This window comes from Homo sapiens, chromosome 4, assembly GCF_000001405.40.
Source record: "Homo sapiens chromosome 4, GRCh38.p14 Primary Assembly".
NCBI classification, from domain to species: domain Eukaryota; kingdom Metazoa; phylum Chordata; class Mammalia; order Primates; family Hominidae; genus Homo; species Homo sapiens.
The window spans coordinates 168,079,792-168,103,051 of record NC_000004.12 but is presented as its reverse complement, the minus strand read 5'-3'; the positions used below and the strand labels follow the sequence as shown (position 1 = coordinate 168,103,051).

General features: G+C 32.6%; 1 protein-coding gene and 1 long non-coding RNA gene across 3 annotated transcripts in view; both read right to left on the bottom strand.

Moving 5' to 3' along the window:
• The window catches only part of ANXA10 (annexin A10), a 95,200-nt gene extending 84,685 nt beyond the window's left edge, over positions 1 to 10,515 (bottom strand). For both annotated transcript variants that reach the window (XM_011531571.3, NM_007193.5), the window contains exon 1: positions 10,334 to 10,515. In XM_011531571.3, the coding sequence (XP_011529873.1) occupies positions 10,334 to 10,351 (18 nt within the window). In that variant the 5' untranslated portion in view covers positions 10,352 to 10,515. The remainder of the gene's footprint in view (positions 1 to 10,333) is intronic.
• On the bottom strand, positions 323 to 10,315 carry LOC124900170 (uncharacterized). Its single transcript, XR_007058357.1, has 2 exons — positions 3,736 to 10,315; positions 323 to 1,467 (listed from the first exon to the last, which is right to left on the bottom strand). It is a non-coding gene; the product is annotated as an uncharacterized LOC124900170 (long non-coding RNA).
• Positions 10,516 to 23,260: the final 12,745 nt, after the last annotated feature.

Below are 23,260 nucleotides of genomic sequence, written 5' to 3'. Positions count from 1 at the left end.
AGGACAATATAAATAAACAAAGAAAATGATATAAAAATAGGGAAGTATTTTAAACAAACACATTCACAATGACGGTATAGTAAATGAGCACATGAAGATATGATCAATATCATTACCCATAAAGAAATTCAAAGTAAAACTACAATGATATTCTACTGTAATATATTGCTGGTGAGAATGCAAAATTGTATAGTCACTTTGGGAAAACAGTTTGCCAGTTTTTTCTAAAGCTAAACGTACTGTTACCATATGACCTAGCAATCTTGCTTCTAAGTGTTTACGCAAAAGAAATGGAAACATAACTGCACTCAAAAACTTTAACTTGATATGTTTAGAGCAGCTTTATTTATAATCACTAAATCCTGAAACAACCCACAGTTCATCCATTCACAGTTTATCCATTCAAACTGTGAACAGATAAACAAATTGTGGTACATCCATACAAGAGACAGTGACTCAGCAATAAAATGGCAGAACTAATGATTAATACAATATGAATTAGGGTTAAATGTTTCTACTAAGCGGAGGAAGCCATGTCCAAAAGGTTCAATAGTTTATGACTCTGTTCCCATGACATTCTGGAGAAGGTGAAACTATAGCAGCAGCAAACAGTGCAATATTTGCCAGAGTTTGGAGTTTGGGGTCGGTAGCTGACTACAGGCAGGCAGTGTGGTGGAATTTTTGGATAATGGAAGTCTTCTATAAGGAAATGTGGCATTGGATACATGACTTAAATCATAAAATTGTATACCACAAAAAGCACATTTTGTTAAATGTAAGTTTAACAAAATCAACAAAGATGTATGGAAAACCCAACAGAAAATGCAGTTTGTAGCAAATTTATCTATTTATATAACAAATAAATCTCATAACCACAATAAGCTCAGTGGAGAGAGGGGATGTGCCCTAAGTAACTTTAGAAAATAGTGTTTTGACTGAACTGTAAAGCTAAAAATAAAAATAATCCAAACAATGTACTCCTCTTGGTAAAGTTGTTTCTCACAGAGTAATGGCTTAGCAAGTTTTAAACTACATGTATGGTAGGGTTAAACAAATAAGCAAACAGGTTTCAGATATTGATAGTCTTAGTTTTCACTGTCTGAGAAAGAAGTAACAAATAATGGTGAAGGTTAGAACGGTGTTGTTGATTAGATTGGAGGTATTAGTATGAAGATAGATGGTAGATAGATGTATGGATAGAGACAGAGAAATCGATAAGTAGGAAGGTAGATGGAGACATGCATACATGCAAACATATATGCATACACATGTACAAAAGTAAATATAGATGTGTGCAGATAAATGGGTTAGTATACACACATATTTTTTGCTCTGTACTCTTAAGAGGGCATATAAACAGTGATACCCCAGTAGCAATGAGTATAACTAGTATCCAGATCTTGGTTTTAAATATCGGTCTTCAATGGAAGGAATCAGGGCGTTTTGGAGAAGTGGTTAATTCTAGGGCTGGAATAAGAAAAAATACAAGATTAGATTAATGCATCTTGTAGCTGTAAGTAAGGAAAAGCTTCCCCCCGTCCCCTTCCCCCCCAAAAAAAACACAAAGAAAAGAGAAAAGAAAGAAATGTCAAAAGTAAGATTAAGCCTAAAAGTGTTCCCAATGGCCACTAGCTCCTGGGAGCAGTGTATTAGTTCATTCTCACATTGCTATAAAGAAATATCTGAGGCTGGGTAATTTATAAAGAAAAGAGGTCTAATTGACCCACAGTTCCACAGGAACAGGAAGCATGATCCTGGCATGGGCTCAGCTTCTTGGGAGGCCTCAGGAAACTTACAATCATGGAGGAGGGCAAAGGGGCAGCCAGCACATCATACAGCCAGTGAAGGAAAATGAGAGAGCCAAGTGGGAGGTGCTACACACTTTTAAGCAACCAGATCTTGCAAGAACTCACTCTCATGAGAACAGCACCAAGGGAATAGTACTAAACCATTCATGAGAAACAGCCCCCACTATCCAATCACCTCCCACCAGGCCCCACCTTCAATACCGGGAATTACAGTTCTACATGAGATTTGGTGGGGACACAGATCCAAACCATATCAAGCAGGAAACCAAAGGATTAGCAGAAATACTGGTATAATCTAAACAATATCTGTGGTTTAGTTAGTTGCACTGTGCTTATTTTAATATCCTGTTTTGATAATTTCAATATGGTTATATAAAATGTAAACATTAGGGAAAGCTGGGGGAAGGGTAATTCAAATTATGAATTATTTTGACAACTTTTTCTTGTAAATCTGAAATGTTCCCAAAACAAAAAGTTTAAACATAGTATTTTTAGGTGCATATCTAGTCTCATAAAACTAAATATGGCAAACTTTTAAATCAGAAATTGCCACATTGGTTTGAATTTAGCTTCAAACCGTATAGTTTGACAAAATAATTTCACAAGAATTACAACTGCGAATTAAGATAGAGGTTCAAACATGAGAATAATAATGAGTTGTAGCAGGAAACAGATCCCAGTTGTTTTTGTCTTCACTTTGAAGAGCACCCCATACAAGAGAGAGAAGCAGAGAACTTAGAGCTAAAGATGAAGGAACCTGTATGAGAGGCTTAAGGAGGGAAAAAGTTTGTGAATAGAAAGATGGGTGACAATCATCTTAACCATATGGAAATGTCCTGCCTCACACATTGTCATAGTGAGGTGACAGAAAGCCTTACAGGGAAGTACAATTTCATGATGAATCTGTTTTATATCCCACTCTAAGGAAAGAATGTTCTTGTAAATCAAAATCAGATGAGAGAAGAATAAGCTACATTGCCAATAAAGCTAAGTATTTTTGAAAATTCAACCTGTCTACATGTCTCTCTAAATCAGACTTAAAAAATCTAGATTAAAAACATGACTAAATGTAAGAAAAGTTAATCTGATGCCTTTAATTACAATACACCATTTGACTAGTTTTCTGAGTTTAGTGCACCTATCTTAAAAATTTCTACAACTGATTCTAGATTACATGAATTTTTGTTTGAAAACTTTCTCAATATGCAAAAAGCATTGAGAAAGAACAAAAAGGAAATGAACCTAGATTATAAAGCTGAACTCTTGCATGTTGTAGGAGAGAGAAAGAAGCCTAATATTTGAAAGGGACTAACTCACTTGTTTCTCTGTTATTGTTGGCAGACAGTTTATATGTAACCCAGTGATTCTGAGAGGAGGTATTATTTGATACTGATTTCCCTCTGCCAAATGACTAAAATAACATTTTATAAAAACCATTTCTGTCTCTGTAGCACTCAGAGACATATGGATCATATATTTAAAAAAAAGACCAAGTCCACTAAGTCATGAAATTAGAAGTCATTGAATATCTTGAAGGAAAACCAAGCATAGCCGCCCACAGTCATTCTAGTATTCACAATATCTAGAATGAAACAAAATAAGAACCAGAAGGGAGTGAGATCTCGAAGAGTTTCTTCTGGTCGTTAAGTTGTATTAGGTTCAGTTGTAACCATTGTTACATGAAAAAGTCTTATTTCAAAACCACTAATTAATTACCTTTCACTGAGGGTTCATGAATCTAACCCTTTTCTACTGTGAAGGGACTACTGTATTCACTGTGAATATTTACTTTTCTATATGTGAGTTGCCCTCTTGATTAAACACACAGCAGTCAGCCCACAGGTGAGGAAAGGTACACAGAAGGTGCATGTGTCCCCAGGTACTGACGCCTCTCTCTTTCGGCATCTTTGACCGTTTTCTTACTTACCTTTTCAAACAATATTTTCAGACTGGCAACTAAATGAATGCCTAGAAGAATATGTACATTTATTCAATATCTCCAAAGGGTTGAACAATAATTCAAGAAGTTTACTACTGTACTAAGGGCAACAACAAAAGAATAACCCACCAATAAAATACAATATGATTTACATATTTTAAAACGATTACTAATTCACAGTACTAAGAATGCTATATCTGCTGTGGTTAAAGTGCTTTCTTTTTACATAACTGAAAAAGTATTACTACAATGCCTTCCATTCTGGCTTATTTAAAAATAAAATAGCAGAAATGTTTCAATTAAGAGATAGAATGATAAAATACATGAAGACATTCTGTTGCTTTATTATTACAAATTGCCACCAAATAAAGATGAAAAGCCAATCCAAAGTTGCTGTGAGTGAAGTTGATTCCCACTGTATCTATAACAGGGTATATAAAACACATTATCTTGTGTGGATTTACTTTTATGTTTTGTACATGATACTTGTAATAGTCTTTTTTTTTTTCTGGTTCCTTCCAGCATAATTACCCAGAATGTCTAGAGGACATAAATAAAAGTATAACTGAGGAAGAATATATTCATAACTGTGTGGTGTAAGACTGTGATGCTGGCAAGGAAAAATAGGCCCCAGGAAGCAAGTTTTACTCTGCCTTTGATAACAAATGCATGTCCAAAAGCTATGAGTAAAGTATTACAAATAGCTGGAGACTATTTAGAAGAAGCTGATGCTGGGAGATTGACAGCATAAACTCTGAAATCTCCTTTTAAAAATTATTGCAATCCCTTCCTTTTTGATGAATCAGGCTGAGCTACTTCTGATTACAAATAATTTCTACTGATAGAAGAACTCTAAGGTAGATAAGGGTCGGATGTGGGTGTGTGTGAGGCTATACTGAAAAATGAAAAGTTGGTAAATAATGACCTTTAAATGACTCCTTTCTTTCTGCTTTTCCTCTCCACCTAATTGCAGGAATAAATGACTCATTAAACTAACTATGATTCATATTGCTTAAACATAATTTCTGAAGACTTCACCTTAAGGGTTAAGGAAAGAAGTACGTTCTTAGTGCTTGCCATTTGTGATAATCTAATGACTTTCTTCCTTTACTGTTTGTTAAATAAGTTGATTAATTAGGAAAAATAAAAAAAAGAACATATAGTTAAACATCTTTTTTTTTTTTAAATTTCAAGAGTGCCTTAGATTTAAAGTAATACTTATTTAAATGGGCACACTGTATTAATGTTAATGGTATAAGCATAATGTCAAAATAACAGATAATTTTATAATAATCTCAAAAACTAGTCCATTCAAGAGAAACCAACATATCTAGAGAGGTGTTCTAACTTCTCACTTGGAAAAATGCAAGTGATTCTACAAATTGAAGTCTTCTTATTTTTCTAGCTATTATAAATTAAGAACTTTCAAACCAAGATGGCTTTCTCAAAATATCCTCTTTGCTGACTTTTACCTCCTATTCCATTACTTTGTGTAATTGCAGAGTGAGTATGAATCTTATATGTCAATGAAATACATGTTTCAAGAGGTCAGGGTTTATGACAATGATATTTATTACTCTCTGACCAGTACCTGGAGGTGGGACCAGGGACACCAGGTAGGAAGCCACTGCAGAAGTTGGCAGGCAATGATAATGTAAGGTATGAGAGAACCTGAGCCAAGGATAATAGCAAGGCTTAATTTTTTTTTAACTTTCCTTTTTCTGTACTAATAAGAGGATGAGTTTCTACTCAATGAGTAGACACTTGGTTACAGGAATCTGGGGTTCATGCATAGGTTCTGGGTTGAGACATAAATTCAGAAAAGAGTCTGTATATAGAATGTAATTAAAACCATTATGTTGGATCTTATGACCAAAGGAGAGGCTATAAGGAGGAAGGAGAAGAGTTTCAAGAATTTGGCCCTGGAATACTTCTGGCAAAGGCGATTGTGTCTAATAACACCCATATGTCTAGCAAGATGAGAGGAGAGAATTAGGCATGGGATTTAACCATATGAAGGTCATTGTTTACTTTAATAAGAGCAGTTCAGGCAGGGCATTTGAGAAAGAAACCTAATGAATGGATACGGAGAGAATTGAAGGAGAAGAAATGTATATAATGGGTGTAATACAAGTTTGAGGAGTTTTACCATAATAAAGAAGAGAAGTTACCAGAAATTGAAGTAAGTGGGTTTATGAAATTTTTTTGCATGATACAATCTACTTATAAATAAACATTATGCTAAGTACAACAGAAAATATATTTCCCCTTGTGAAACTTTTGTTGTTTCTCAAATTTCTTTATAAAATTTGGGACTGTTGTATATATACACATACATATATGCTTATGTATGTATTGTATATACATATACATACATATATATATATATATATGCATTTGTATTAGTAATGGATACAAACTTAACCTCCCCTCTAGAAGCAGTGCATTGGGCAGCTGAAGGCCAGGGCTTTTGAATTAGACAGAGTCGGATTCAAGCTTTGGCACTGGTACTGTGAATAATAGCTCATCTTTTTGGGATGCTTCTATGCTCCAGATACTCTTCTTGGTGCTTTATATGCCAAACAATTCTCAAGAGACCCTTATAAGATAGGTGCTGTTATCACACTTAACAGGTTAAAAAAAATTGAGGTGCAGAAAGATTCAGCAAGTAGTGCTCAGTCACATGGATCCTATGCAGAAAGGCTAGATTTAAGTGTATCTTTAGCCACTACGCTACAGTGATGTTTGCCCAGCCCCTAGATTAAAACCAATCTATGGTTGTTATAATGGTATATTTTTAAAAATTTACAACAAGCATGCATGCCAGTTCAAGGAAAAAGTTAAATTTAATTTTTCCAATCCAACTCTTATTAGTTCTACAGAAGTTTCAGTAAAAGTTGAAGCCATAACAGCATGATTCAAAACTTTTGTTGAATCAAAGTGTGTAAAGTTCAGACAATGTAGTCTTGTGATAGTGAAAAGCAATCTGAAGTATGAATAACCTTTTAATAATATTTGCTCAGTAAGTCATACTGCAGATAAACAATCAAAGTCAGATTTCTTGGATGGAAGTTTTTGTCCTGGGAATTACTTTCTATAGGAAAAGACAGTCTTGAAAATAATCTTGCCTTATCAACAGCCTCTCCTCCCATGAGATGTCTTGTCAGTCTGCAATCACTCCTAGGTAATATGCCCTGAATTCATTTCTGATTTATGGAGTGCTTTTCCTTCACTACATGTAATCCACTGCTAAAAACCAATGCATTTATTTTTATTCTAGTTAGGCTAAAATGCTGTATGTCTCATTGCCCATAGTAGACACTGCCTAACATGCTGTTGCCTGACTTTCGTGCTCTTGAGCTATTCTGAGGCAAACTCATGAGTCAAAGCATCTTTGTAAAGATACCGCTGCTAAGTTTTTCTCATTTAATTGGGGTCACAAAAAATAATCATACCTAGGCATTTTTTTCTCTCAGTGTGGTAGAAATGATTTTGGAGTTACACAGAATCCTCTGTATCTGTCACCTACTGGCTTTTAACTCCTGGGAAAAGTATTTAATTTTTCTGAACCTTAGTATTTTCATCTGGAAAAAGGGGATGATAATACTGTCCTAGAAGTTTGCAAACACAAAAATAATATGTATAAAACATTTGGGTAGAATATCTAGTACCTCCAAAAGAACTTCAAACCTTTGCATGTTAAATGGTATTCTTATAGGACAATTTGCTGTGAAGATTAAATTAAACAAGGTATGGATGATGTATATAGACAGTAAATTATTATAATAATTTCTATATGTTTGTATAATACATAATGCTATTTTAGGTAAGAAATATGATATCAACATGTATCCTACTTTTCATACTGCTATGATTAACATTTTCTGTCAGTCAATAAATATTATAGAAGTAGGAAAAGGTGTCAAAAGGGTAGAAAAGGGAATAGGATTAAAGTTAACTCTAATCCTATTAGAGGTCAAAAGGAAGGGTATCATCTAAGAAATGAATCTATAGTAAATAAGATGCTACTGTATGAACAAGGGGGATCAGCTGATGACAAAACAGGACAAAATCAGCGAACAATTTTTACAAGAAAATTGTATTCTAAAGAGGCAGGTGTATTCTAAAGAGACATTATATATTAATAAAAAGAATTTGAGCTCTAGGGATGTAGAGATACCTGGGTTTAGATCCTGACTTGGGCAAGTACACTGTATAGTAAAATTTCCTCCATTCTAAGAGAGCTATTATAATATTATAATAATATCTTCCTATGATGTGATTTATATCTGACTAATATATCAAAACTCAGGCTTGCAATAATCTCTTAATTAAACCTTGCTTTTGAAAGATGGTCTTACAGTCAAGCACATAAGTAAAATACACTAGTGCACCAAAGATAAATTTCCTTCTTAATGTAACAAGCACACTTAAACTACCTTAATCACTGGGGCCCGCCTAACTCCAGAAATATAGAAAATAATTTTAACATATTATGTATGTTTATCTCCTACAGAAATGTAACCATTTTTCCATGATTCTTGTCTCTTGCTTGAAGTATATTTAAATTTTCTATACTTTGAGAGTAATGAACTACCTATCTCTGTGGTTCTCAAAAATGGTAACCCTTTTATATCAAGTGTATAAGTTCAGATGTTATATATACTGCATCAGGACTGCTAAATAAGGAGGATCTAGGGACATATCTTTAACAAACAACTCAGTCAATTACTACCCACATTATAAAATAAGAAATTACTTGTCAACAGAAGAGCCAGTCTCTTGCTTGAGAACATCCGATTAAAGAGATAAGCTTGGCCTCAAATATTGGCCTTTTTAGCACTAAATTCTGACCACTGGGGTCATATACCTTAAGATAGAAAATTACTTTAAACTATACTGATATTGATTATGTAAAACCATTTTACCATCCAGGCTTGCTGAGATTATACATAAAACATAACATTCATCTCTAAAATAGCTAATCAAAAGTACTTAAAATGGATTCTTAGGTATGCTCAAATCCAAATCTTTAATCTTCAGTTTTCTTTATTTGCTTCAGAAGCATAGCAAATAATTGCATTTAAAAAAAATCTTGTTAGCCTGGTAATGTTTAATAATCCCAGAAATATAATTTAAATATTCTATAAAATATGTTTCTTTTGAAAAATGGGCATATAAATAGTAACATTAGACCACACAATGCATAGAATATAATAGTAATTACTCCCAAATAACTATACTCAAATGAACAGAGAGAGAAAACAATAGGCATTTGCAAATTTAATCATTTACCATGCTGGCCTAATTACTTGATACCTTTTTTTCTCTGTAGTGAAATATAACCACCTTACAATTAATAAAACAATAATGGTAACTTTCAACTGCAAAATGAGATCTTGAAATCTTAAGATGAAATTAAGATTGTTAAACTAACAGTGATGGAAAATAGCTGCCTTTTAAGTCCTAATTCAGTATTTATCTTAAGAAACACAATATATAAGTAAAATTTTCCTGCATTGATTACTTTGTATGAGTAAACAATGTTTTGTGTGCCAAAGTTTAACAAAATAATTATGTTATAATTTTTTTGCATAAAAGTTCCCAGAAAGTTGTTTTTTGTTTTTTGAGATGGAGTCTCGCTCTGTCGCCCAGGCTGGAGTGCAGTGGCGCGATCTCGGCTCACTGCAAGCTCCGCCTCCCGGGTTCACGCCATTCTCTTGCCTCAGTCTCCTGAAAGTTTTTTTATAGTATAGATTTGTAAAGAATCATCATTAACACACATATACTTGTATATAATTTCTAAGACCACAAGGCATAAATTCACATTTGTATATAATTTTCAAGACCATGTGAAATGGAGACCTTTTCATATAAAGCATATTCAGACAACTTAATGTTCATGTTGGCTTTTTAAAAAGTGAATGACTATTAGAGCAGTTGGACTAAAATGATTCAGACAAGGCCAAAAAAAAGACTAAATCTTGTTATACATTGCTTCTATTCAACAGAAAATTATTCAAAAATAAGCTATCTTTTACAGAAAGCATGGATTTAAAATAAAATTAATAGTCAAAATTATTTTAATTTTTTATAGATAGAAGTAAATATCGAGATAAAAAATCTTATGATAACTTCAGTTAGAATTCTGAATCAAATTACATATGAAAGTAACTTGCCTCTGTGGGATAATACGTTGTTTCAAAATTAGCATGGATTTAAGATTTCATAATATTAACTCTGTTTAATAGTTATATTGAAGACCCACTAATTAAATGGATTCTTAGGTATGCTCAAATCCAAATCTTTAATCTTCAGTTTTCTTTATTTGCTTCAGAAGCATAGCAAATAATTGCATTAAAAAAATCTTGTTATCATAGTAATGTTTAATAATCCCAGAAATAAAATTTAAATATTCTATAAATGTTTCTTTCAAAAAATGGGCATAAAATAGTAAGAAAGTAGTAAGAATAAAAACAAATTAGAACAACATTTTCTGTTAAAAACGTCAAAAAACACAAATGAAATTTTATAAATCAAGTTTCAAAAGAGTGAAAAGCTTTACAGAAATAAGCATTATACTCACATAGTCTCCACAAAACATTTTGATGGTAATTGTTAACCTCAGGGATGAAAATATTTGATCGATTGCATAAACTTGTTTCACTGTGAAGCCAGAAAGAATTAAGGTTCACTGTTAAATCAAATGTAAATATGTTCACTGTTCACCTCAGACTCAGGCAAGAAAATGTAAAAGCAAATCTGGATACAGCATGACTTGAGATACTGTATTTATACTTAGTTATCAGTCATAGGTGAGTAGGCAGAATTATTGCACAAAATAAGTAGAACCATTAACCTAATCCCCAGTTGTATGTTGATTTAAGACACATAAAGTAGCCAACTAATGAAAGAAATGTAATCTTTTGAAAAAGCTGATGACTTATGGAAAGCTAAGTTGATTACCCATAAAGTTAATCATTTATTTTCTGCTTAATTGTTGTTAACATGGAAACTCTTTCAGGTGCTCCAGCCCTAGTTTCCTATCTTAAATTGCTAGGTTCTATGTGTATCCATACAATTTTAAAAGAATATTTCAACTACTGTTTATCTGCTCTTATATTAAAAAATAATGTATTTAGGGGCTGGGCCTGGTGGCTCATGCCTCTAATCCCAGCACTTTGGGAGGCTAAGGCAGGCAGATCACTTGAGGTCAGGAATTCGAGACCAGGCTGCCCAACATGGCGAAACCCCGTCTCTACTAAAAATACACAAATTAAAAAAAAATTATTTTAAATATATTTAGAAAAGAATTCATTATCCACCAATAAAAGTCTTTGGAGAAATATATTCACCATCATTTTTGCACTTAATTTTCCTATATTTATATATATGTAATTTTAATATTAACTATTGCATTTTAAGGAAATAAATTTTAGAAAAACCTGTAAAGTTCAATATAGTGTTGGAAACTATCTAGATACATTCATATATGATTCCAAAAATAACAAAATGAATCTGTATTATATTATTTTACTGCTACTTGCTATTTATTGAACAATATAGTGTTCATTTATAAAAATTTTAAAATACTTTGAATAAGAATTAGGAGCAAATAATCCTTTATTGAAAGAACCAAATACTAACAAGACAAGTGTCAACTGATCAGCATCCATAGGTCTAGAACTACCCAAAATAATTCTGATGTTAAAATATGAGTAAAAGCCATGAAGCAGTATGTATTTATGTAATACACACACACACACACACACAAACACAAATATATATATATATAATGAGCAACTATATATATATATTCTTCAGCATTCAATTTATAATATTATCTGATTACCTTACCAGTATACCTGGTACTATGAGAGATATATGGAACCATGCTGCTTGGCTCAAAAACATTAAAATCTAGTAGGTCCTACTATGTATGTGTATGTGTCTGTGTATGAATCAGGGTCTTGTGTTTTTGCTATGTAGACAGCATATAGCAATTATAAAATTGTATAATTTATATTGTATAATTGCTATAATTGTATAATTTATATTGTATAATTGCTATATGTAGACAGCATATAGCAATTATAAAATAATAGATATACTTATTAAAACTATAGGATTCAGAATTAGAAACAAAAGAAGAATTTTCAACTAAAATTGTTTTTTAATTAGAAACAATAGAAGAGTTTTCAACTACAATGATTTTTTATGATTATTTTAGTAAGTTGCAGGTCTTATGGCTTTTATTAGAGACTAAATATGTGAATATGAACAAAATTTGTCAAAATATTTGAGACCAAAATCCTTTCCCTAAGATTATTAGATAATTCAGAGAAAAGAGATTTGATAATATTCCCTAATTTTCTCCCAGATAATAGGTACTTAATGTATAATTTTATTCATCATTATTTTGTGATTTAGCTTTTAAAAAACATGTCCTTAAGGGAAATTATGATATCTGGTATTTGGCTTATAATATTCCATAGAAAAGAGGGTCATGAGACACCTTTTGATACCAGTGTGGCAAAATCTTGAAAACTATTGGGAAAGATGGTAGTTAATTATTTAATATAATTCTATTTTATGTTTATGAAAATTTCCCTGATGAAAATTTTAAAATGTTTGGTTGTAACTTATTTACTCATACTTAAATATCATTTGATTATCTACAACCTGTACAGTAATAAATGTTATCAATAATAAGGATTTTCCTCTATTCTAAACATTGTTTCAAGTCAATATACTTGTATAAATTAATTCTTACAACAACTCTATGAGCTTGGTACTGTTATTGCCCATATTTTATCCACAGCATAGATAGATAGTAGAGAGGAAATGGAATTACTCTGTAGTCAAGAATGTTGCCTAAAATCTCACTCTTGAAGTAGGAGAGTGAAATTTGAACCTAGGCAGTCCAATGACAGAACCTGTAACCTCAATCTCAATGTTACATAGATACTCAAGGAATGAAACAAAGCAACTTAAGAAGAAAATGAAAAGGCATGTTTCTTGATTCAAAGGGATTTACAGTTTAGTAGGTTTTAAAAATTAACAGAATACAAGATGATAAATGGTAAGAGCCATAAGCAAGTTGCAAAAAATATTTTGAACAATTCCTCAAGAGGCAAGTTACTTAGGGAGCAAGTAAATGAAGAATGCTTCACAGATGAATTAGCGTTTGAAATGTGACTTACCACAATGTCCTCTAGTTTCATCCATATTGTTGCACATGGCAGAATTTCCTTCTTTTTAAAGCATGTATATTATTCTATTTTATGTATACTACATTTTCTGTATCCATTTATCCATTGATGGATACTTAGGTTGTTGCCATATCTTTGCTTTTGTAGACAATGCCAGAATGAACATGGGAGTGCAGACATTTCCTTGATATACTGATCTCAATCTTTACGGATATATATCCAGAAGTGAGATTGTGGATCATATGGTAATTCCATGTTTTGTTTTTTGAGGAATCTCCATACTGTTTTTAAAAATGGCTATACTAATTTACATTCCCATGAACAGAACACCAGGTATCCTTTTTCTGCACAACCTCACCAACACTTATCTTTTGTCTTCTTGATAATTGCCATTCTAACATGTGGGAGGTGATATCTCATTGCAGCTTTAATTTTCATATCCCTCATGATTAAAGATGCCGAACATTTTTAAACATATCCTTTGTCTAATAGCATGTTTTATTTTGAGGACTCTCTCTTTGGGTCCTTGGCCCATTTTTAAATCAGGTTGCTTGTTTTCTTGTTATTGAGTTGTTTGAGTCTCTTAGATATTTTTCATATTAGCACCTTAACAGATGTGTGGTTTGCAAATATTTTCTCCCGGTACACGGATTGTTTTGTAACTCTTGATTGTTTTCTTTGCTGTGCAGAAGCATTTTGGTTTGATGCCATCCTATTTGTCTAATTTTGATTTTCTTTTCCATGCTTTTGGGGTCCTATCCAAGAAATAATTGCTGAAGTCAATGACATGGACTTCCCCCTATGTTTTCTTCTAGCAGTTTTAAACAGTTTCAGGTCTTACGTTAAGTCTTTAATCCATTTTCAGTTAATTTTTCTGTAGGGTGTAAGTTAATAGTCCAATTTTATTCTTCTGCATGTGGATATCCTATTTTTCCCAACAACATTTATTGAATAGACTGTCTTTTTATCATTGTGTGTTCTTGACACCTTTGCCAAAAAATCAATTGATCATAAATACTTGGGCTTACTTCTGGGCTTTCTAATTGGTTCCATTGGTCAGTGTGTCTGTTTTAATTCCACTTCCATGCTGTTTTGATTATGATTGATTCATAATACATTTTGATATAAGATAGTGTGATGCCTCCAGCTTTGCTCTTTTTTTTGCTCAAGATTTCTTTGGCTATCTGGGGTCTCTTCTGATTCCATGCAAATTTTAAAATTGTTTTGCCTTTTTCTGTGAAAAATCACATCAGAATTTTGATAGGAATTGTATTAAGTTTGTAGATTGCCTTGAGTGGTATGGCTACTTTAACAGTATTAATCCTTCAGTCCATGAATATAAAATATATTTTCACTTATTTGTGTTGTCTTCAGTTTTTCATCAATGTTTTGTAGTTTTTAATGTACAGATATTTTACCTGCTTGGTTAAATTTACTCCTAAGTATTTTATTTTTTCGTGATACAATTTTAAATAAGATTGTTTTCTTAGTCTGTTTTATGGATAGTTTGTTGTTAGTATATAGAAACACCATTGATTTTGCGTAATGACTTTGTAACCTGCACCCCTACTGAATTTTTAAAATCAGTTCTAACAGTTATTCAGTGGAGTTGATAGGATTTTCTATGTATAAGATTATGTCATTGGCATACAGATAAAATTTCATTTCTTCCTTTCATGTGTAAATGTCTTTTACTTCTTTCTGTGTACGCTTTTACCAGTGAGTTTTTTAAAATATTTTTATATATTTTCCTATTGCTATTTAGTGACCTTTTCCTTTATGTTGAAGGAATGCTTTCAGCATTTGTTGTAAGGCAGAACTAGCAGTGATAAAGTGCCTCAATTTCTGTTTGTTTAAGAAAGGTTTTATCTCTTTTTCAGTTTTGAAAAATAGTATTGCTGGGTATAATATTCTTGGTTAACAGTTGTTTTTCTTCTAGCTTTTTGACTATATTATCTCAGTCCCCTCTGACCTACAAGATTATTGCTGAAAAACCCATTGATAGTCTTATGAAATCTCCCTCATATGTAATGATTTGCTTTCCCCTTGTCCTTTCAGTATCCTCTCTTTGTCCATAATTTTTGACAGTCTGATTTATGATGCATTGATGTGGATCTCCTTGGATTTATTCAGTAGGTATCCATTGAGCTTCCAGTTCAGCACAGCAAGGTAGCCCGTCCTCCTTCCAATGAAAGATTGCAGGGATTTATCACTAGAGAAACGTAAGGACAAAGGCACAGAAATTGCTGCCTCTCTTATTTAGGGTTGAGGAGGTTTATCCTTGAGGCCAGGATCACAGGGAGCTTCTGGAAATCTGTGTATCCAAACTCTTTCTAGAAGTTGAAAGCTGGATTGATCTGAGGTATACAGATACTGGGAATAGTTGTGTGGATTAAAACTCCTCTTTGTTCTTTTTGCTTGAAGGAAATCCTCTGATATCCTTTTCCTGCTGCTCCTCAAGCAAGGTAATTTAATAGACAAGCTGTCTGGTAGAGATTATAAACATAGTGATATGTGTGGTACAAATCCTTCATCCCTCTAGATGCAGCTAGGAGTTGGGGATTTCTTCCTGATCGTAAGGCACAGTGCTCAGGGTGGGCTTGGTGGTTTATATCTGCCTTTCCTACTCATTTTGATGTGTGTATTTTCTCAATTCTCCAGTGTGTAGGAGTCTTTCAACTAAATTCTGTCATTCTCTTGGAAATAATTGTTTCATGTGTAGATGTTAATTTGGTGTGTCTGTGGGAGGAGGGATAGTTAGAATCCTCCTATTCTTCTATGTTGCTGGTGTCAGCATCTAGAAAAATTTGAATTACTGTCTACTGTGCCATATTAAGTAAGCATTCAATCCTTCTTGGAGTCACATTTTATCATTCATTCAATTTATTAGCAAATATTTATTAGGCAACTAAAAGGTTTCTGACAGTGTAATAGGTATTTGGGATACTTCATGAAACAAGATAGGCAAAAATCTCTGCTTTATGGTGCTTATGTACATTAACTAATGATTTGAAATTTTTATTTTATACATGATGAAAAACGTATAATTAACAAAAGTTGTTTAATATGTTTATATATATTTATGTATGGTTGACATTGACACTGCCTTTTTTGAGTACTGCAAATTGCCTAAAACAACAATCATAAGAAGAAGGCTAGACATAGAACATTTTTTTTCCAATTAGACAATGATCTCCAAATTGTTTTGTCTCAACATTCCCCAAAGAATTTGGAAAAACTATGTACCTCTTCTACTTTTTTACCAATGTCATATAAAATAATTTCATTCAAGTTTAAATAGTCACAGTTATTTTTTACTGTTCTCAAAGCATCCAATGTGATCTCAATACCATAGCAATTCAATGTCCACTTAATTCATCTAAATATGTAAAATAAGTTCTTATTTAGCAATTGAATATTTTGCATCATTTCTTTCTCTTAATTCTTATTTCCATTCTATTTCCTGCACAGTCATTTATTATGAGGTAATTTATGCCTGAATATCTTCTAGGGGATCACCTTATCATATATTTATAAATTATATTTATAACTTAAAGAAAATTGCTTGTAATGATTTCCATCTTTATTCAAACTGGAAGCCATGGGCTCTTCCCACTAATCTTTGTTATTTTCATAAATCACCCAATAAAGTAGATGTACCACATATTATTTATCCATTTACATGTTGGTAATCATTTGACTGTTACTAATAAAGATGATTTGGGGCTAATACTTGACATTTTCACCCTTTTAAGTTTTAGCCATTAAATTGTGTGCTTGTATCACATCGTGCTTCTAATTTGCAATTCTCTTATTACTAAGAATGTAATCTTTTTATATGTTAAATGGCCATCCTTACATGTTCTTACACAAATTGTTCAAATATCTTCTCCATTTTCAACAAAGTTGGTATATTTAGTGTTGATTTGCAAGAGATCTTTATAAATTCTGGACACTTAACCTTTATCAGCTTTGATTTGTAAACATTTGCTTTCAGTTTGTGGCTTGTCTTTTTATTTTTGAAATGTTGTCTTATGAATAGAGTAGTTTTTGTTTGCTTTTAATTTATAATTGAATAAACTCCAATTAATTATTCATTTTCAAGCTTTTTATATTTAAAAAATTTTTGCCTACCCCAAGATCACAATGTTTCTTCTAGAAATTTATAGTTATAGCTTTTATGAAATATAATAATTACTCATTTATATTTTGTATCATATAGTCAAGTTTCATTTTTTTCTCTTCATAGGGATACTCAGTTGTTAAAGTACCATTTATTTAAAATATTTTTTCTCATTGATTTATTTTTACACATTAGTCAAAAATTACTTTACCATATATGTATGGGTCTATTTGTGGACTCTACCTTATGCCTCATTGATCTAGATGTCCTTCCTTTCACCACAACCACATCACCTTAATTCATAACTGTAGATTTATAATTGTGAAAATCAAGTACTGTGATTTCTGCAAATTTGTCACTATTTTTCTCCTCCTCCTCCTTTTTAAATTGCTTTGGCTCCTGTAGGTTATGTTTTTTATTTTATAAATTATTAATATCCTTGTCAATTTCTTAAAAAGCATGCTGGGAACTTAATTACAATTACATTAAATCTATAGGCTTATCTGGAAGAAGAAATAATACATTAATGTCTAGTCTTCTGATCCATGAACATAGTGTATCTCTCAATTTATTGCAGTCTCCACTTTCATTAATATTTTGTTGTTTTCAGTGCATTTATTTTTTACCTTAAAATACCTCATATTTTCTGATTTCATTGAAAATCATATATGTTATTTTGTTTTTGAATTATTTGTGCCAATAAATAAATATACTATTGCATTATATATTTCCACATTGTATTCTGTGACTTTGCTAAGTTAAATTGTTAGTTATTACAGGTGTTTTGTAGAATTTTTAGTTTTGTACTTATACAATCAAGTTATTGTTTAAATGTCTGCAACCCACTCAAAATTCATGTTGAAACTTAACCTCCAATACAATTGTTTGAAGAGGTGGAGCCTTGAAGATGATTATGTCATAAGGAATCCTTCCTTGCCAATGGGCTTAAGGCACCTTATTAAAGAGGCTTCACACAGAGCTCAACCTTTTCTTAAATTTTTCTTTCTTTCTTTTTTTCTTTTTTTTTTCTTTCCTGCCCTTCCACCATGTGAGGACACACTATTCATTCTCTCCAGAGAACGCAACAACAAAGCACCATCTTGGAAGCGGAGAGATTAGTCCCTTCTCAGACACCAAACCTGTCAGTGCCTTGATCATGGTTTTCCCACCCTCCTGAGCTGTGAAAAATACATTTCTATTGTTTGTAAATTACCCATTCTGTTGTATTTTGTTATAGCAACACAAACAGACAAAGACCAGGTCAATTTTTTTAAAAGATAGTTTTACTTCTTTCTCTCCAATCTGAACTTTTTAAAAAATTCATTTTTCTTATTTTATTAAATATGAATTCCAGTATAATATTGAATACATGGTAGAGGCAATATAGCCTTTTATGACTCTTAGGAGGAAGCATTTCATTTTTTATCACTATGTATGTTATTAATTATGGCTTTGTAATAGATGTCCTTTTTTAGGACATCTGAGAAGTTTCCTTTTATTCATAGTTTAGTGGATTTAAAAATTCCTTTTTCTGAAACTGAGATGATCAATTTTTGTTAATTCTATTAATGTGGTGAGTTATAGTAATCTATTTTGAATGTTAAATTAACCTATATTTCAGGGAAAAACTTCACTTGGTCATTCTGCATTACATTTTTTATATATTGTTAACTTTGATTTGCTAAATTATTTTTTAAAAATTTGCATATAATACAAGGGATATTCGTTGATAGCACTTTTTAAAATTTCATAATGACTTTGTCTAGCTTTTTTATCAGAGCAACGCTGGCCTCTGAAAACAAGTTGAAAAGTATTTAATTTTCCTCCGTTTTTAAAAATATTTGCATAATATTGATATTTTTCTTTTTAAAATATTTGGTAGATTTTACCAGTGAAGCCAATCTTATCCAGATTTCTATGTGAAAAGGTTTATTTTATAAATTATGGATTCGATTTCTATAGTTGTCCAAATTTCTCTTTGATTTTATGTTCAAATGTTTTTAATATGGACTTTGAAGACTTTTCTTGTAAATTTAAAGGGGGACCCACTTAGAACCAGTTTCAATGAACTATCTTTTTTCCTGGATATGTGCCACACTTTGCTGTTTCTTGGAATGTCTAGTAATTTTTGTTTTAAAGCCAACCACAGGTAATGAACTCTGGATACTCTTGCATTCTTCTGAGGATTGCTTGATTTTGTTATAATAGGTAGTCAAGTTGCCTAGACTCAGACAGAAAATGTGTCTTCCCTATGTTATGCAACAGCTGAATTTTCTGCTCTGGTCTTAACAACTTCCAGCTACTGCTTTTCTTATGTTGTTTCTTGTAGGGGGTGTTTCCATTTGCCTGGATTCATTGTTAGCCAAATTTTGGGCCAGAGATTATATTTAGATATGTGGTCCTTCCATGCCTGTGGCCTACTTGTTTCTAGAAATTCACATGTAATTTTCTACTACTATTCTGGCCTTAAGCTCTCTTCTCACACTTTAAGCTAATAAGACTTCTTCTTTTGCCACTCAAACTGTGCATGGTCAGAGTGCACTCAGTGACCCATAAAAGTCACTTTTTTTTTTTTTTTTTTTTGGCTGGGTGCAGTGGCTCATGCCTGTAATCCAAGCACTTTGGGAGGCCGAGGTAGGAGGGGTACTTGAGGTCAGGAGTTCTAGGCCAGCCAGACCAACATGGTGAAACCCAATCTCTACTGAAAATACCAAAAATTAGCTGGGTGTAGTGGTGGGTGTCTGTAATCCCAGCTACTCAGGAGACTAAGGCAGGAGAATTGCTTGAACCTGGGAGGAGGAGGTTGCAGTGAGCCGAGATCATGCCATTGCACTCCTACCTGGGGAACAGAGCGAGACTCTACCAAAAATATAACAAAATTAGCCGAGTGTGGTGGCACACACCTGTAATCTCAGCTACTCAGGAGGTTGAGACAGGAGAATCACTTGAACCTGGGAGGTGGAGGTTGCCGTGAGCCAAGGTCGTGCCACCGCACTCCAGCCTGGGTGACAGAGCGAGACTCTATCTCAAAACCAAACAAACAAAAAGTCACAAAATTTTCAAGAATAGATTTCTCTCTGATTTCTACCTGCCTTTTTATTACTTGCTACCCCTACATTTCAGGACTTCTTTGTACAAATGTACTTTGTATCAGTCAATGATGTGGTTAGAAACTTCCTCAGATGAAACAGAACATCTGTTAATGACCAATAGCTAATAGTATACATAGTGATGAGAAACTGAATGCTTCCCCCTAAGATTCGTAAAAGGCTAGGATGCTGTTCTCCTTTCTTTTTCAGTCCTCTTGCTGCCAGTATTTTACCTCTAAGTTTCTAACTGGTCTTTCAACCTTAAACTCTCGTTGCTGGTACTCTTACCATGTAAGGCAATGGTTTTCTACTGCTCGTTTACATCACTTTGGCTGTGGGTTGAGAGGGTCTTTAATTCAAAAGTCATGCAGTCAGGTCTCAAAGCATCAAACTCATGTTCCTTACTCTTTCGGGAGTTGGCTTTTTTTTTTTTTTCGTGGGGGGAGGGCAGGGAATAACATTTGCTACTGCTTCTGTCTGATTTTGGACAATTTCTAAGTGCTTTTATGTAGTTGAATTTTAAGTTTTATCTAGTTTCTGTCTGTGGGAGGGCTTACATGACAACTTTACTTAAATACCATTACTGAAAGTCTTTCCTTAATACATTGTGATATAATTTTTAAAAAATCTGTAAACATAAGCCTCTTAGTGTTATTTTTTTTTCTTGATGGAGATTCCCTTAGATAATTGTGGATAATTTGCCAAAAAAACCCCATAATATTTCCAGATATATTATAATACAATGAGATGGCTAAAGTATTTTTTCAATGAGTACATGTGTCCATGGATGGCTAAAGTTAGAGAAAACTACAGCATACATTCTGGTTTTACTTCTTTAATAGGTACATGTTCTTGAGAAGCATATTAAAATATGTATTTCGATGGGAAGAGAAGAAATTTCATTACAGAAATCTGACTCAGTTCTTTGAAGTCCTGAGTGATACTAACATTATAATTTATCACCAACATAAATTTGGTGCAGAAGGATATGTTATTCATTTATCATCTCAATTTTTAATAAATACATCAAAAGAGAAGACTTCTCAATTACTATTGTGTTGTTATCCTTTTCCTAGATACACCTTGTCATCAGAATTAAAAATTGACAGAAACAGAGAAAAACAACCCTATAAACGGGAAACCTATTGGTCAAACTGTTTCTGTCACCTAGTAACAAAACCTATATAATAATGTATTAATGTTTAATTTTCTTAATTACCTTGAAGTCCTTTGAAAAGGACAAGTGGAAAGAAGCGCAGACGTTTTAGAAATATTTATATAGATATACTAGTAATTTCATATCATGTTTGAAAATAGAGTTGGCCCTTAAACTGTGCAGGTGTTAGGGGTGCTGACCCTATGAACAGTACAAAATTTACATACAATTTTTGACTCCCCCAAAACTTAACTAATAGTCTACTGTTAACTGGAAACCTTACCAATAACATAAATAACCAATTAACACATATTTTGTATTTTATATGTATTATATACACTGTATTCTTATAGTAGTAACATGAGTTAGAAAAAAGTTATTAAGAAACTCATAAGGAAAAGAAAATATAGTCACCATTCATTAAGTGGAAGTGGATCATCATAAAGTTCTTCATCCTCACGGTCTTCATGTTCAGTAGGGAGTGGCTGGTGTTGCTGTCTCAGGAGTGTCAGAGGCTGAAGAAAATCTGCATATAAGCAGGCCCATGTAGTTCAAACCTACACTGTTCAAGGGTCAACTACAATTAAGTTTATGATTTTGATGACAGAATTAGAGCAGCACATCAACATCTATGAGAGAGAATAATTCATCCTAATTCAATGAATCTGGTACTCCAAAATATTAGGCATTATGTTTCAGAATGCCGTAAAGGACATTTTGTCCTACACCTATACATAAGTTGAGGTGTTCTTCTTAGAATGCAGGCTTGTTTGCTCTGTGAGTATTAACAACAATCAAAGTGAGTAACTATTAGGCCAGTAAAAGTGCAGGTCTTACAAATTACATTAGTAATTCCTGTTAAGTGAATAGTTTATTATAAAATTCACATTTCTGTTATGTTTATATAAATCTAAAATATATACTTAAAACTTATGTGTGAGGAGGGAAAGGTATATGGTCAAGTCACAATAAATATAAGAAATACACTCACAGTAAAAACATTATATTGATTGGCTACAATTTTAATATGTGACAGCAAATATCAAGTATGTGATAACCAGTTCTTTCTGAAAATCCTTGTTGGCTGTGTCACTCTCTTGAAGATCTATTTCACATTTTTATTTTTATCAACCTTCCAACCCCTATACTCTTTCACCCTACTAATTTTCAGCTGATCCCTCCCTTGTTGTTTTATTGAGGATACATCCATTAATGCAAATAGGAGATTTTTCATTCTTCTACTATGTGTATTTGTACTTTTGTGTTTTCTCCCATCTTCCCCTTTCACAGTGCACATTGCTTCTAACTTAGTCTCCTTTTCCTACCAGCTGACTATATGAATTCTTCTCACTTATCCAAGAATTTCATTCCTGAAATTATCTCATTTTTATACATCATCATTTTATTCTTTTATTATTTCCAACAACCCAAAATTATGTTACAGCAACTGTAATTTTAAAAAGCAAGCAGGCAACCAAATGGAAAAATTCCCTTGGCTTTTATTCTCCACCTGCTGCAACTTCATTTTTGTTTTTCTGTTCTTTTCACAGGGAAAGCTTCTTCAGACAGTTTTCTATACCAACTCTCTCCACTTGTCTATTCTTTCTTTATCCCACGTCAATCAAGTATTCCCACGCAACACTGAAACTGCTGTTGTCATAAATAATGGTCATCTTTGCAAGTCTAGTGGATTATTCTCTGTTCTCATCTTGACATAATTGTCTCTCCTTCATGATACACATTCTTCTGGAACTTACATTCCCTTGGTTTTACTTTGACTAGATTGATTGTATCTTCTTAGTCACCTTTATTGTAAATACCACTTACATTACTAGCTTTATATTATTCTGTTTTTTGGTTCATATTTTCACTAATGAAAATTATATATATATATGTTATATTTTTAAAAATATGTTATTTAAAAATGCCTCTC